At 40.7% G+C, this 14,645-nt stretch overlaps 1 protein-coding gene across 3 annotated transcripts in view; it reads left to right on the top strand.

Annotated features, from left to right (window-relative positions):
* Nucleotides 1-11,187, top strand: part of SLC9A9 (solute carrier family 9 member A9) — a 583,247-nt gene extending 572,060 nt beyond the window's left edge. For all 3 annotated transcript variants that reach the window (XM_017006203.2, NM_173653.4, XM_011512703.4), the window contains 2 exons: nt 7,429-7,534; nt 9,480-11,187. In XM_017006203.2, the coding sequence (XP_016861692.1) occupies nt 7,429-7,534; nt 9,480-9,707 (334 nt within the window). In that variant the 3' untranslated portion in view covers nt 9,708-11,187. The remainder of the gene's footprint in view (nt 1-7,428; nt 7,535-9,479) is intronic.

The raw sequence follows: 14,645 nt of genomic DNA, 5'->3' as shown, positions 1-14,645 counted from the left end.
TTTACAGCAAATCTAAAATTACAAGTGGGCAGAGACAAACCACCAATACCACAAGTATATGCAGCAGGAAAAAGGAAGCAATGGAGTAGCATCGGATGGACCTGAAGATTAGTCAACGGTATTCCCTGAAAAGTATAGTTGGAATGTTTTTGAAAACATCCTTAGAACTGGAGTTGGGCTATCACATTCTCTAACAGTAGTAACTAGATGGTCTCAGTAAGGTAGACAGAGGCTGGAGTCGTCAAGGCCCCTGAGAGCTTTCAAAATGGATCCACATGGGCTCCCTCCTAGGACAGGGCCCTATACTGAGGAGAAACTGCCTGGAGGAATTAGAATTGAGCAGGATAGGGTCAGTAGAGACAAGGGAAAGACAGACTAGGTCTAGATCAGCTGGGGAGGGAAACAGCAGGAAAGCTCATCATGCAAACCGCCATATTTCACACTGTGAAAAAACAACCGAAGAGAGAACTCTGAAGCTTAGAAAGTTTTCTAAATCCTGCCTCATTCTCTTAGGAAAATGAATTTCACGTAAAAGTGAATAATAGAAACGAATAGAGGTCAGTTCCTATAACAGAGCTATTATAAGAAAAATGAGGGTGTGGAATAGAATAATGTTCCTACAAACAATGAAAACATGCCGGAAAGACATGCTCATAAAACAAATCAAAATTATAACATATTACATCAAACAAGTTAAGAGACTAAGAAAATGATACAAGACATGAAAGAATTAGAAAAACAAACTCTAGAAATAGAAAAAGTCATTTAATAAATCAAGTCTAAATTAGAAGGAATAGGAAAGTGAATAAACACAATTGATATCTTAAGAGAAATACCAGGTGAAGGGGAAGAAAAAAATCAGAAATAAAAATAATTCAAGAGAAAGTGACACATATTGAAGATTAAGAAATTGAACATCTAGAGAATAGGAGTCCCTAAAGAAGAAACGCAAAGCAAGGAAATAGAATGCTCCTAAAAACGAGCTTGAAATAACACCCTTGGAACTATACATTGAAAGAGCACACAATGTACCTGAGACATCAACCTAGAACAACCGACATTAGATAAGTTTTAACAAAATTAATGAACTTTAAAGAAAAAGTCCTTTGGGCATCTTGGGGGCAGGGGGAAGCATGTGATTTGTGGTAGAAAGAAAGTTTCCACAAGTTCATTAAACTTTTCAGGAACAACTTTGCATGTCAAAAGAAATAAAATACATTTAATGTGCTCAAAGTATAAGCCAATGCTTTTATTTCCAGCAAAATGACTTTCAAAATAGGCACGAACTATTATCAACATACAAGACCTCAGAATATTGTTCCCATGAACCCTTGCTGAGAACTCTACTGAAGAACAAGCTTCAGACAATCAAAGTGACTAGAGAGAAATTGACAAAAGGCCTGGAGGTAGGCATGAGATCAGTAGTCACCTGATCATTTAGCTAGGACTAAATGATAGTTAAGAGGGAAACAATATAGACTGTAATGGCTATATGTCCAGACAATATAAATATATGACAACCATCTATAGTTATACTGCAGGAGTTTTGTAAATGGGAGGTCAGAATGCAAGGATATGGCAAAAATATTTTAATGTTTTAGGTAATTGTTATGGTAGCATTATCAGTATTATTCTGAGATGGTTGTGTCTGTGATCTAGGAGAAAGCAAATGAATCATTGTGGAATATTCTCATTTGATTCTTTGTGTCCTTGAAAAACAGAAATATTTGAATTGGAAATATCCATAAGAACTCATGAGATCTATAACCAGTGGCATGGTGAAGCCAGTTCACACCAACAGTTTGTACACTTTTTTCAACTCCAGAGTCAGTAACTTTGTGTCAGTAGCTTGAAATTAGCCGTAGTGGGAGTATTTATACACCATGGAAATTGGGAAATGCTACAAATCCAGCCTTTCTTCCCCAACAGAGAGTCAATTGTTAAACCATTTGCCAGCACCCCACAGTATGTAGCAATCTTTAGTGTCCAGATCTTAGTAAGAATAGAAGGGAATAGAAAAGCCATCTGTTTACAGATTTCTTGATCTGTAAAATGGGATTATAGTACCCAATTACAAGTGTAAAGAGAAAATAAGACATATGGAAATGCTATATCAATGAAAGGGTGTAGGGTACAGTATTCCTGAATGGAGATATGGAGATAAATGTGCTTTCCTTCTTCACACAGCTGTGTGCTGACAAGCATTTTACCCTTATAACAAGACCATTTATCAAGTCTATAAACACTTGCAAATGCTCCCAGTGGGCAAAAAGTCTTCTTCCACAAGCTGAGATATGATCATTTGTTAATCCACTCCCAAGTATAACATTGAGTATTCATTTTGTTGAGTCAAGTATCTATCCCAGCCCTTAGACAAGATGCAACAACTGGCAGAGACCATTATATATGTCTGGGTTCAGAGACAAATGGGATTATGGCTTACCTTATACCTGTCCTCACCCTAAAAATGATGGCTTATGGACATAGGGAGACAAAAAGAACATTGTCTACTATTTAAGATTTGAATCTCATATGGGAGGGCAATACTCCAGAGAATTCCAAATTCACTTGATCAGTCACCTGGGATGATTGCTGAAAATTCAGTGTCTTCGTTTACTTCCCAGATCTGCTGAATCAGAATCTCCAAGAGAGGTCTTTAAAATCTGAATTTTTAACAAACGTTCTAGATGATTTTCATGATGAGGCAAGTTCAGAGAAAAATAGAACACAGCTCCACAGGGTTCTAAAAGTAAAGATTTTTAAAGAGGGCCCAAGATAAGTGATGTCTTAGTCTACTTGGGCTGCCATAACAAAATACCATAGCTTGGGTGGTTTAAACAAGAGAAATTTTCTCAGTTTTGGAGGCTGGAAGAATAGAGTGGTCAGGTCTTGGTGAGGGCTGTCTTCCTGGCTTGCAGATGGCTGCCTTCTTGCTATGGTCTCACATGATCTCTTCTTTGTGGAAGGTGGGAAGAGGGAGAGAGAGAACAAACTCCCTAGCATCTCTTCTTATAAGGGTATTAATTCCATCATAAGGGCCCCACCCTGATTAGCTCCCAAAGGCCCCATCTCCAAATATCACACTGGGGCTAGGGCTTCAACATAACCCTAGCTATGTTAGAGGGTGGGGGGATGCAGACATTCAGTCCACATAGGTGCAATGGAGTTTAGTCCTTCAAAGGAGCAGGTGCTCATTTGTGGAGCTGGATCGTTGGGGTTTTTGCTTCTCACTGACCTATGCAAAGCCACATCATACAAGCCATAGGCTTAAGCTGTGTACCCATTGGTTTTAGCAACATACAATGGACAAAACATGATGATTTAAAGTAAACAACAACAAAAGATCAATCAATGTCACCAGGTATTTTGGATATTATTCAGTTAAACACCAAATTTAGCTCTGGACCTGCTGTTAGCCCAGACCAAAGGAGAAAATGCACTTGCTAACTGTCTTTCCTATTTCACGCAAGTTAAATTCTGGGTAGAGTTCCAGCTTTTACTTATGTCTCCTGAACCATACTGCTATTCTCAAACTTATGCCCTTTAAAGATGAGAAAAGTCATTGTTTTTCCCCAAGAGCTGAACATTTTTTGTCTCAATGCATTTCTAGCTTATTAGAGAAGCAAAACTAGTCATATTAAAAATACCCAATGGGGAACCTCCCTCCCCATTCTGGAAGCTGATGAGAAAAATAACACATTTTGCAAAATCTGCCGTTGGGTTTTTTTTAATAGATAGAAGAGTTTTCTTACCTTTTAATAATTCAGGTAACCCTGGAGATCCAGCCACTTTCCAGACATTGCTCAGCAATGAAGAACTCAGGAAGTCCCCAATTCCAAATTGGTTATCCAATTAGGCAAGTCCCGTTACTCAGTGTCTTCGTAACAGAAGAAGGATAGCTCAGTGTGGTAGAAGAGCCCCTGAATTCAGGCCTAGCTCTGCTGTAAACTAATCAGCAGTTTCCATTGAGCAATTTATTTACCTTCTCTGAGCCTGTTGCCTTCATTAATTCAACTACTATTTCATAAGTATCTAAGAAGTGCCACACTGTATCCAGGTGAAGGGGACTGCCTTCAGGAGACCACAGTTTCGAGAAAAGGGAATTTTCTATTCTGTAATGTAATGGTTCCTTTCCTTGTATGGGTGCCTTGTCTCTGTTCCTCACTAGCTTGGCACATGAAACAAAAACCTGTGAGTGTATGATGGAACAAATGAATGAGTGAGTGAAAGAAAACGGTTTTTTAAATCACCTTATTTTATGCCACTACCACTCTTCCTAAGGTCCCCTCCACCTGATAACTCAGGCCCAAGTAGTCCAACTTTGATTTCCCCTTTCTTAGGTTTCTAGCACTCAGAAAACTCATTTGTTGGCTGTAATCTGCCCCTTCATTCTTCCCTGGCACCGTTCCTCTGAATCTACTTCCATCTCTCATACACCCCTGAATATTTTCCTATATTCTAAATCCAAACATCCATTGTGCACATAATATATAGCAAGCACTGGGCAAACCAAGATGCTGAAGAACAGACTCAGCTCCACATTTGATATGGCTGCAGACCACACTCTGTGTATCCCATTCACAGCCACAGAGAGTATACCTCAGTTGACTCACAGCTACTTGGATACCAGGACAGGCAAAATGATGCCACGTAATTCCCAGGAGAGTCTTACATCAACTAATTCTACCCACCTCTCACTCACCACCTCATGCTAGCCCCCTGAACAATAAAGTTTAACAAAAATAGCTGTTTAGGGGTATAGAACCACCTTAAAATTTCCATTCACTTAGTAGTCCATGAATCTGGGTGCTACACCAAATGACTGGAGCACAAAGCTCTTATCTCTACCTTCAGTATCGTTTTCCCATCATTATCGAACAATGAGACACCGGTTTCTCCAGAAAACATTACTCAGACAGTTTTTTAAGTAAGTAGCATTTTTATAGCATATCAAGGTTTAAAACCATTTCTACATATGTTATTTCAGTCAATATTCACAACAAAGCCTGAGGCTCAGAGGATAAGTAACTAGGCCATATGGTCAGTAAAGTGGCAGGGCTGGCATTTATGCCTGGGTCTGAGTCAAAATCCTGGAGCCTGCACAGAGGGAGCCAAGTGATACTGTTCAGTTTAGTCCTCATACTCACTAAAAGCTACACATTTAGCCTTTAAGCATTTACTCCAATAGTATTATATAGTTGTACCCCCTTATCTGCTGGGGATATGTTCCCTGACCCCCATGGATGCCTGAAACCTCACATATGCTAAACTCTGTATACACTATGCTTTTTCGATCTGATAACCACAATGGCTACTAAGTGACTAGGGGGCAAGTAGTGTAGACAGTATGTGTATGCTGCACAAAGGGATGATTCATGTCCCATGTGGGATGGAATGGACAGTGCGAGATATCACTCAACTCAGAATGGCACACGATTTAAAACTTGTGAATTATTTCTGGATTTTCCATTTAATTTTTTTGGACTGTGGTTGACCATGGGTAACTAAAACCATAAAAAGTCAAACCATAAATAAAGGAGCACTACTACGCATAGATTTAAAGAGATAATAACCTCATCAGGATTTTTTAAGGGTGTTCATTACACAATCCTAAACTTATATTTTACTTTTGTAACATTATTTTGGCTTTTTCAGTATGCTGAGCCTCTCAGCAGAAGTTGCTCAGGCCTCTTTCAAGCTCAGAGCCTTGACAAACTTTTTTTTTTCTTTTAACATGACATCACTAAAAATGTTGCTTACTTGCTGTCACTTTTCCATCCTTCCACCTGGAAATAAAATTGGCTGGATTTTTTTTAATTTGTACTCCAGTTGTACATATATCTTGTCCACCTCACCTCCATAAAGACATTTTTATTGACCCATACCTACTGTAAACCCTAGAAAGATCACGTACCCCAGCCTGAGTCTGCAGCTCCCCAGCAGGGGCGAGATCTTGTGCTTTGCTCTCCAGAAAACCCAGCTGGTTGCAAACCCTGACCCTGCCCTGAGAATTGTCTTCTAGGGGTGATATTGGAGGATTCAAATAGCAGAGGGAGCCTTTGGATTATTTAAAATTATATCTCTAGGCCTCAATTCCTTCATACATAAAATGAAAGAAATAACACTAATGAAAATTAAAAGAACATCAAGAGCTTTTCAGATTTGTAGATATATTTACAAGATATTACACCAAATACCAGGCTCTGAACTTTAATATCTTCACCTAACTGGGCACAACAGCTGCCCATCTGAAAGGAGGGATCAACTTTTCTATTTGCAATTGGAATTGCAGGCCCTCCTAACATCTTCCCAGTCACTCTCCTCGCATCATAACAAGGCTTCGTTCAGGTGCATGGCCTGCTTTGGTGACAAATACATCAAGCCAGAAGTACCAGATTCTTTAGCCTCCACTGGGCTGCATCTTCCCTCTATGCCCACATGCTCAGGGTATCATGAGAATGGCATGTGAATTATCCAGCTATGGATGGACTCCACCAGAGGCATCACCAAGATCATCTCATGCCCTGAGTGCCTGAGCACAGCTGCGGATCTTCATGATCCAACCAATGATAACTCCTCTCCATTTTTTCCCTTTCCCTATTTACTATAGCTTTTTGGAAAGTTGATGAAGTGAAATACTCTCCAGCAGAGGAAGTAATATAAAGCTTAAAAGTCATTTCTGATGGAATGCTGAAATAATTCCACTGCTTTCCTTTGAGCAAAAAAACTAAAATAAGGCAACCTGAGGCAGCTCTGGGGATTTCATTATTGATAGATTGGAGGAAACAATGGCTTTAGATGAACAAGTTTTTCTCTTGTTAGAGCACTTTGGAATGAGGAGATGAGAAAGACAGGTGCTAGACAACAGAATAAACCCAGCACCGACTTATTTACATAATTTTGTATAGAAATCCATTGATGTATGAAGTTTAAAGTGACTGTTGAATAGTGAAAAAGTAAGTATTTTGGAAAACAATCTATGTTCACTACCTAGCTCTAAAATAACTGAACATTTTATAAAATACCTCTTGCATCTTTGTAAAACTTACTGGCAGTTTAAGCTACGCGTGTGTACAGTTTTAAGAAAATACAATCTTTTATGTTATCCTTTAAGGTAATTCTTAAGAATGCATTCTCTAAGCAAATGAGACATTGAGTTGGGGATAGGATGGGAAGAGCACATTTACACTTCTGATGCAGCATGGGCCATCCACCATTTCTTCATGAATAAAGGCTATCAGGAAGGCTGGAAAAGTATGTGTAACAAAGATTATAAACAGCAATTTTTGCAGGGCAAATTTCTTCCTAAGTGAGGGAGTAGGGGATTTAAAGGCAAACGTAGCTGTCTCAGCATACAAAGGTTTGTGCAGCGTAAGATTCCTAAATCCTAACTCCCTGTTGACAAGTATTCCTTAACAGGCCTCCCAGGTATCTGAAACCAATTTTAACCCACTCTGGTCCTCCGCTGACTACAACATTACCTGAATGGTGTGGTCCGATTTCCAGGCTGCTTACCAGTCCTCAAGCCTATGGGGTAAGTAAATCTCAGGCCTCTAGGGTGAGGGAATATCCCTTGTGGGACAGACTTGGTGAATATCGATGAGCCCAGGAACCTCAAAAAGCCTGCTACTTGCAGGATTGAGGAGGAAGCTTTTTTTTTTTTTTTTTTTTTTTTTGAGACGGAGTCTTGCTCTGTTGCCCAGGCTGGAGTGCAGTGGCGTGATCTCAGCTCACTGCAAGCTCCGCCTCCCGGGTTCATGCCATTCTCCTGCCTCGGCCTCCCGAGTAGCTGGGACTACAGGCGCCTGCCACCACACCCAGCTAATTTTTTGTACTTTTAGTAGAGACAGGGTTTCACCATTTTACCCAGGATGGTCTCAATCTCCTGACCTCGTGATCCACCTGCCTCGACCTCCCAAAGTGCTGGGATTACAGGCATGAGCCACCGTGCCCGGCCTGAGGAGGAAGCATTTTTTAAAAATTCACTGCACTAGGAAGCATTTCTCTTGTCAATTGTTGCTGATGTTGGCTTATTCTCTTTTATTGTTACCAATATTTTTAACCATAAAATGACCTTAGAAAATGTAAAAGAAGCATCCTCACAAACTGCTGTGTTTTGAGGTTTTGAGGTTTTGAATACTAGGCCTGTGATTTATGGCTCAAGGGAGTGGAATGAAAAATGCTGAGAGGCACTTAGAATCATTACTCACAAATCAGAGGTCAGGGAATTGGAGAAGAGCACAGTCTTAGGTTTGCAAGTACCCTTAGAAGTGTCCAGCTGGCTAGCCCTGTACACAGGCAAAAACTTATCTCAGGTGTGTTCAGGGCACAGAAGCCTAAGGCAGTGGTTCTCAAACAGTAGTCTCCAAACCAGCAGCCTCACTTGGGAACTTGCTAGAAATGCACACTCTCAGGCCCCGCCTCAGAAACCCTGAGCTTGAACGATGATCTGTATTTTAACAAGCCCTCCATGTGATCCTGGGACAGGCGAAAGTTGGAAACCACTGCCCTAAAAATCCCCCGGCAAGGGCCCATTCTACAAGTAGTTTAGTATGGCCTTCCCAAAGCCAGTGGAGGAAGAGTTGGGATCTTAATTCTTTCAAGGGAACCTCTGTATGGAAAAAATTATTATTAGCCAGATCCAGTTAGCTTCTGGCATTATCCACTATGGTGACTTCCAGCCATTTCTAGACTTGTGATACTCTTCCCAAGAAATATGCTGAGAAGACACACTTTTAAGGTAAAATGTAACAGGAGGCCAGGCGTGGTGGCTGACGCCTGTAATCCCAGCACTTTGGGAGACCAAAGTGAATGGATCACTTGCAGTCAGGAGTTCAAGACCAGCCTGACCAACATGGCAAAACCCCGTCTCTACTAAAAATACAAAAATTAGCCAGATGTGATGGTGGCACATGCCTGTAATCCCAGCTACTCGCGAGGCTGAAGCAGGGGAATCACTTGAACCCCAGAGACCAGAGGTTGAAGTAAGCTGAGATCGCAACACTGCACTCTAGGCTGGATGACAGAGTGAGACTCTGTCTCAAAAAAAAAAAAAAAAAAAAAGTAGCAATAACTGTGTTTCAAGGATTTTTTGATAGGCAGGAATGTTACAAAACCAACATGAGAATCTTCCCCTATTCTGAGATCATAGGATTATGCTAACTCCTAATTCCTGTCAACCCTAGTTAATACCAGTGGTGGAAACATCCTTAACCCAAAGAGGAAATGAAAGTACCATGCTCTTTAACACCTCTTACCTCAGACTTAGAGACCCCTTATGGCTGTACAGCATCAGATATTCAATGCTGACTCAGGGAAAGGCTGTACCATGCCTGCAGCAGAAACATCAGCCAAGGCCAGACAGGGCAGTTACAGAAAGGAAAACATGCATTCTGTTTAAAAAAAAAAAAAAATTGTAGGACTGCTATTGTTTTCTGCCTTCATCATGAAGTGACACCTCTCTCTCTTTTCCCAACCAGGAACAGCTAAAAGAGGATGATGTGGAATGCATTGTAAACCAGGATGAACTAGCCATAAATTACCAGGAGCAAGCCTCCTCACCCTGCAGTCCTCCTGCAAGGCTAGGTCTGGACCAGAAAGCTTCACCCCAGACGCCAGGCAAGGAAAACATTTATGAGGGAGACCTCGGCCTGGGAGGCTATGAACTCAAGCTTGAGCAAACTTTGGGTCAATCCCAGTTGAATTAATTGGCATGAAGAGTACAGATGTAATCACAAGTAATGCAAGACTCACTGAGGAATACAAGCCAAGCTGATGAGGCAGTACAGGGGAGAGGCTGGAAAACATATTAAGAGCATAAATTGGAGAGAATCAAAGCCTTGTCACATGGATCCTCTGGTGCCTGAAGAAATGAGATTTTATTATCCCTCTCTATTATGCAAATGAATTTAGTTTTTTGACAGCAGCCATTCTGATTACTGGATTGGCTGGGGTGGGGATGGAGGTATCAGGAGTCTAGCTGCTGGAGGATGGGACAGCTGTGCTGGGTCTTCAGGGCATTTCTGCTGCGAATGCGGCTCTCCAGGCCCTTCACTTCTATTCTGGATTTTATTCCCTCCATTAAGGAGAGTTTAAAAATAAAAGAAAGCTTCTGAGAGTAAACATTTTGCTCCTAAGCTGAAGGGAATGCCCAGCTATTTAGTAAGTGATAAGTTTCTTATTTTGAGGACTTGACTCCCATTTGCTCTCAGTGACCCCAGGGCAGAGCCCAGAGAAGTGTTCCGTACCCACTGCTGATGGTTTCCCAGAGCCCACACTGAGTTGAAGAACCTATTGTTCTTCTTGGCATCCTTCTTATGCTACTTCTCCCATCGCTCAAAGGGGTTGCCTATGGCTGGGTGTGCCCTGCCCTAAATGCAGCACCACTTTCAAGCTTAGTAGGACCATTCCAAGAAAACCAGGTTTCTTCTCCCCATACCACGTTGTGCCTGAAGAACAAGCCTTCCCGTCCTTGCCTGCATGTGAGTCACTTCTTGGCTGTGCAGCAGGTCCCCCCCTCCCCGCGATATGCTGGAGGGTAGGATTCTGCAGCCTGTGTTGCTCTCTACCTGGCAGCAGACTGTGCAGGAGCCCCAACCTGTCCTCCAATTCCAGCATTCACAGCTGATGAGCAGTGCAGGAGCAGGGCGAGAGGAACAGAGCCAATGATGTGTGGGTTACACTGAGGAGCCAAGGACAGGGCCTCAGGTCTCCCCCTTACAAGGCGTGGCTCATGGCCTGCATTCCAGAGACCAACATGATAGCTTTTAATTCAGCTGCATGACCTGTGCCTTTTAAGCCATAAAGATACCTCAAGCCTAGCACCTCTTGAAATCCAGATGTTCATATTAGACTCGAAAAAATAGGCTCCAGGCCTAGGTGCCCAGGCTATGATGAGTCTGCTTTTGAAGGAGGTAGGGAATGACATCTTCCTTGGACCCAAAGCTTAAAAGTAATGTATGCTTTGCTGACCACTGTTTGTTAGGCCTTAAACAACATTCACTGTGGTGGTATCAGGCACACTGCTATGTGCATCAATTATTTTTTTGCTTTCCAAACAGAATCTCTGGGGCACAAGTTTTACACTCAAGCTAAGTATAACTTTGTCATTTCAGGTAAATATGACAAGTGGTGGAGCATGAAGTTTTCTAATTTGACTTAATCCTAATAAATTTTTGTTACAAAGTATGATTGTGTTTGGCTAATGCTTTATTTAAAGTCATTTTCTCTTTCCAGGTGATTTGGTGGTTCTAAGCTCTTGTACTCAGAGTGCCAGCTGAAGCAGGCACTGAAAGCTAATGTATGGGACATGCAGGGATCCTGTGGGCCAGAAACAGCTAACAGACTAGCAAGACAAGTCACTGAAGGAATGAAGAGAGCAGGGATGGACTGGGGAGGCGTCCCAGAGAAGGGAAACCTGAGTCAAGCAGAGGGGCACAGATGCCGCCTTTCCCACTAGGGATGACCAGGGTTCACAAAAGCTACAAAAATAGGGGAAGGAGATAGATAGATACTAGAGGAGAAAGAAAGAAAAGAAAGGCAAAAAGATAAAAGGTTCCTCTTTTTTTCTGTCCCTATCATGCTAAAAGGAAGGGAGGCGAACTTGGCGTTTTCTTTGTGTGGAGAAAGACACCAAGGAAAGAAAAGATCCACCCAAAAAAGGCAAACCTTAGTAGGGGGCAGGAGTGGAGAGAAGGAAGAGAAATATGACATACCAGATGGAAATGAGATCAAGTGGGGAGGGGAGGGTACACAATCTAAAACTAGCACCAACTTGCTAAGATGGTGTAGCAAAAATAGCCTCCTGCCCCACAGGCAAAGCCCTCTTCCTACTTAGAAACAAAAATCTCTTTCCCTCTGAACATCATGAGCTGTTGCTAATGTGGACAATGACTGCCTATTTAATCTGGGCTGTTTCAGGTATCCCAGCCAACTTCAGGTAGGTACGATACAAGAAACTGAGAGTAAACTGTGCCCCACCCAACCTGTAAGACAGTGTTCCAGTTTCGTGATGTGATTACCAGCCCTCTTCCCTCTATGTCAGTCCAAGAGCCAAACAGAGGCTAGTGTCCCAGTTAGCAATTCATAAAACCAAATTCCCTTTATGCTCCTATTGTAAGGGTAATAATTTATGATGTTAAGAAATGCTCTGTGCTTTGATTAGCATCAGGACTGTGAAATTCAAACCTATTATTTACTGCCAGTTTTAATGAATAATAAAGGTAAAAGAGCCTTATGCAAACCACTAATGCTTCTACTCATCACTAGAGCTTTAAGCAGGACTCTAATTCATTGACTTACAGGTCTTCCCTGAACTTCCTGTCATGTATATCATACACACATTCATGGGTGTATGCACACATACTTCCACTCACTTCCTCTACCGGGCTCCCAGCTACGGCCTCTATGGTGTTCCCTGTGGTACTTGGGCATGTCTGAGCAAGTCTGAAGCCTGGTAGCAAGTGACATCAGGGTCTTCATTCATGACATTTCAAGGAATTTTTTAGAGGGCAATTTAATATAAATCAAAGCTGAAATTTTAAATACCCTTCGACCCAACAATTTCATGGGCAGAACTTTTATTCTAGATGTGCCACAAAGTATACATATGAAAGGTATTCTACTAAAACAAATGAATTGCCATAAGGTTAAGTAAATCATAGCACAGCCATTTTATAAAACAGCATATGTGCTGATATGGAATGATTTCCAAGACGTTATTGTTAAATGAAAACATCAAGTTGCAGAACAGGATGAATAATGCGCGACCATTCTAGCAGGTTAAATAAGGAACTGGTAATATCACTGCCTTTTAAGAACTAGGGGACCTGACTGTTCTCTTTTGTACCTTTTGAGCTTTGTACATCACATATGCATTATTTAATTTGGTTCTGAATAAATAAGATTCCTATGAAATAACTCATTCCAAGTACTAAGCTATCAAAGGAGTAAAAACCTGAAAAGCTGTTATTTTTATCATAAACTTTCAGAGATCCTGAAAATACAAAGGGCAGCACCAATAGCTTCTGGGTTATTTATTTATATCATCTAACATACACAGATGCGAACTATATAAAAAGTCTTGAAATTCAGACAAATGACTCAGTCCCATCCATCAAACATCTAGTAGAAGACAGCTAAAAAAAGAATGATTTCTTATTAGATAGCAAAATATATGATAAAGCTCTAATAACTAGAACAGTGTAGTATTGACCCAGAAATAAGCAATAAGATGAAGAAAAACCTAATACGAGGTACAGAAACAGACCCATGAATTTCTATATTTAGAAACTTAGTTAATAAAAATGGCATTTCAATTTGGGGTAGGAATTAATGGGCCAACTGACTATCAATTTGGAAAAATAAAGAAAAGTAGGTAATAACCTCTAACATATACAAAACTAAATTCAAAGTAATATAAACTGCTAAACAAAAAAAAAAATATGTAAATCTTGGCATATGGACAGTCTTCCTAAGACAGATGCAAACCGTAAACAATAAATTCACTACATAAAAATATGAAACAGGACAAAAGACACAATAAACCAAATTTTAAAGCAAGATTAGAGAAAAATATGTATACACACTTTGTGTTGTATATCAGACTGAGGAGTATTCCTCAGAATATACAAAGAACTCTTACCAACGTATGAGAAGAGAAAAAACTACCAAGTACAAAAATGTGCCAAGAATATGTAGAATTAAATATGTACATCTTCTATCCGGAATTTCTACTTTTAGGTATCTCCACAAAATAAGTCCTTGGCATTTATACATAAGAAGGTGTACAAAACAATATTCACTGGGGCACTGTTTGTTACTGCAAAACACTAGGAGAGAAGGGAGAGAATTATGACATACCAGATGGAAATGAGATGAAACTCCTGTCAGCTTAAATAACTGGGAGGAAAAAAAAATATTCATTAATAGAAGAAGAGTTAAGTAAATGACAGAGCACCAATACTAGGGAATACTCTGTGGCAATTATACTCTACAGAAATGGGTCTATATGCATGCACTTACAAGGCAATATTTCCAAGATGTGTTAGTGAAAAAACAGCCTGGAATAATAGTCTAATTAGCAAACAGTGTAGGATTAGGAAAACTAGATCAAGAATGCTTTTTGGTTTATCTGTATTACTTTAATTTTCTACAACAATACTATATGCATGTGTTCTCTGCTTATTAAAATCAATTTAAAGGTATGAAAAATGTAAATGATTAATATGGACACTTGCGGAATTCTGTCTAAATAAGGAGGACCCATGAAAGAAGATGTCTTTTCTGAGGGCTGTCCTGCCTTCAAGATGGGAGAGGGGAAAGGAGGAAGAGGCATGGTCAAGAAACACTTCAAAGTAGCCACATTTGAGTAAAGTCTTGAAAGATAAGAGTTTTTGAAAGATAAGGAGACATGATTGGTGCTGGTCTGTGGGGCAGGAGGTGGAGCTGGATCACTAGAGTACAGTGAAGGCCTTCCAGTTGAAGGAAGCAGCCTGGCATCTTAGAGGACCTATAAGCTATTCCACACGAGTCTGGGCCACAATCCTGTGAGAATGGGGAGCTATTGAAATCTTTTAGGCAAAGAATATAACTACATGGGTTGTCAGGAGAAGGGGTGCTAGTAAGACCAGCGGCAGTGCAATATC

The sequence above is a fragment of the Homo sapiens genome, chromosome 3, assembly GCF_000001405.40.
Source record: "Homo sapiens chromosome 3, GRCh38.p14 Primary Assembly".
Taxonomy (NCBI): domain Eukaryota; kingdom Metazoa; phylum Chordata; class Mammalia; order Primates; family Hominidae; genus Homo; species Homo sapiens.
Note: the sequence above shows the minus strand (reverse complement) of the source record. Positions and strands in the feature narration are given on the sequence as shown.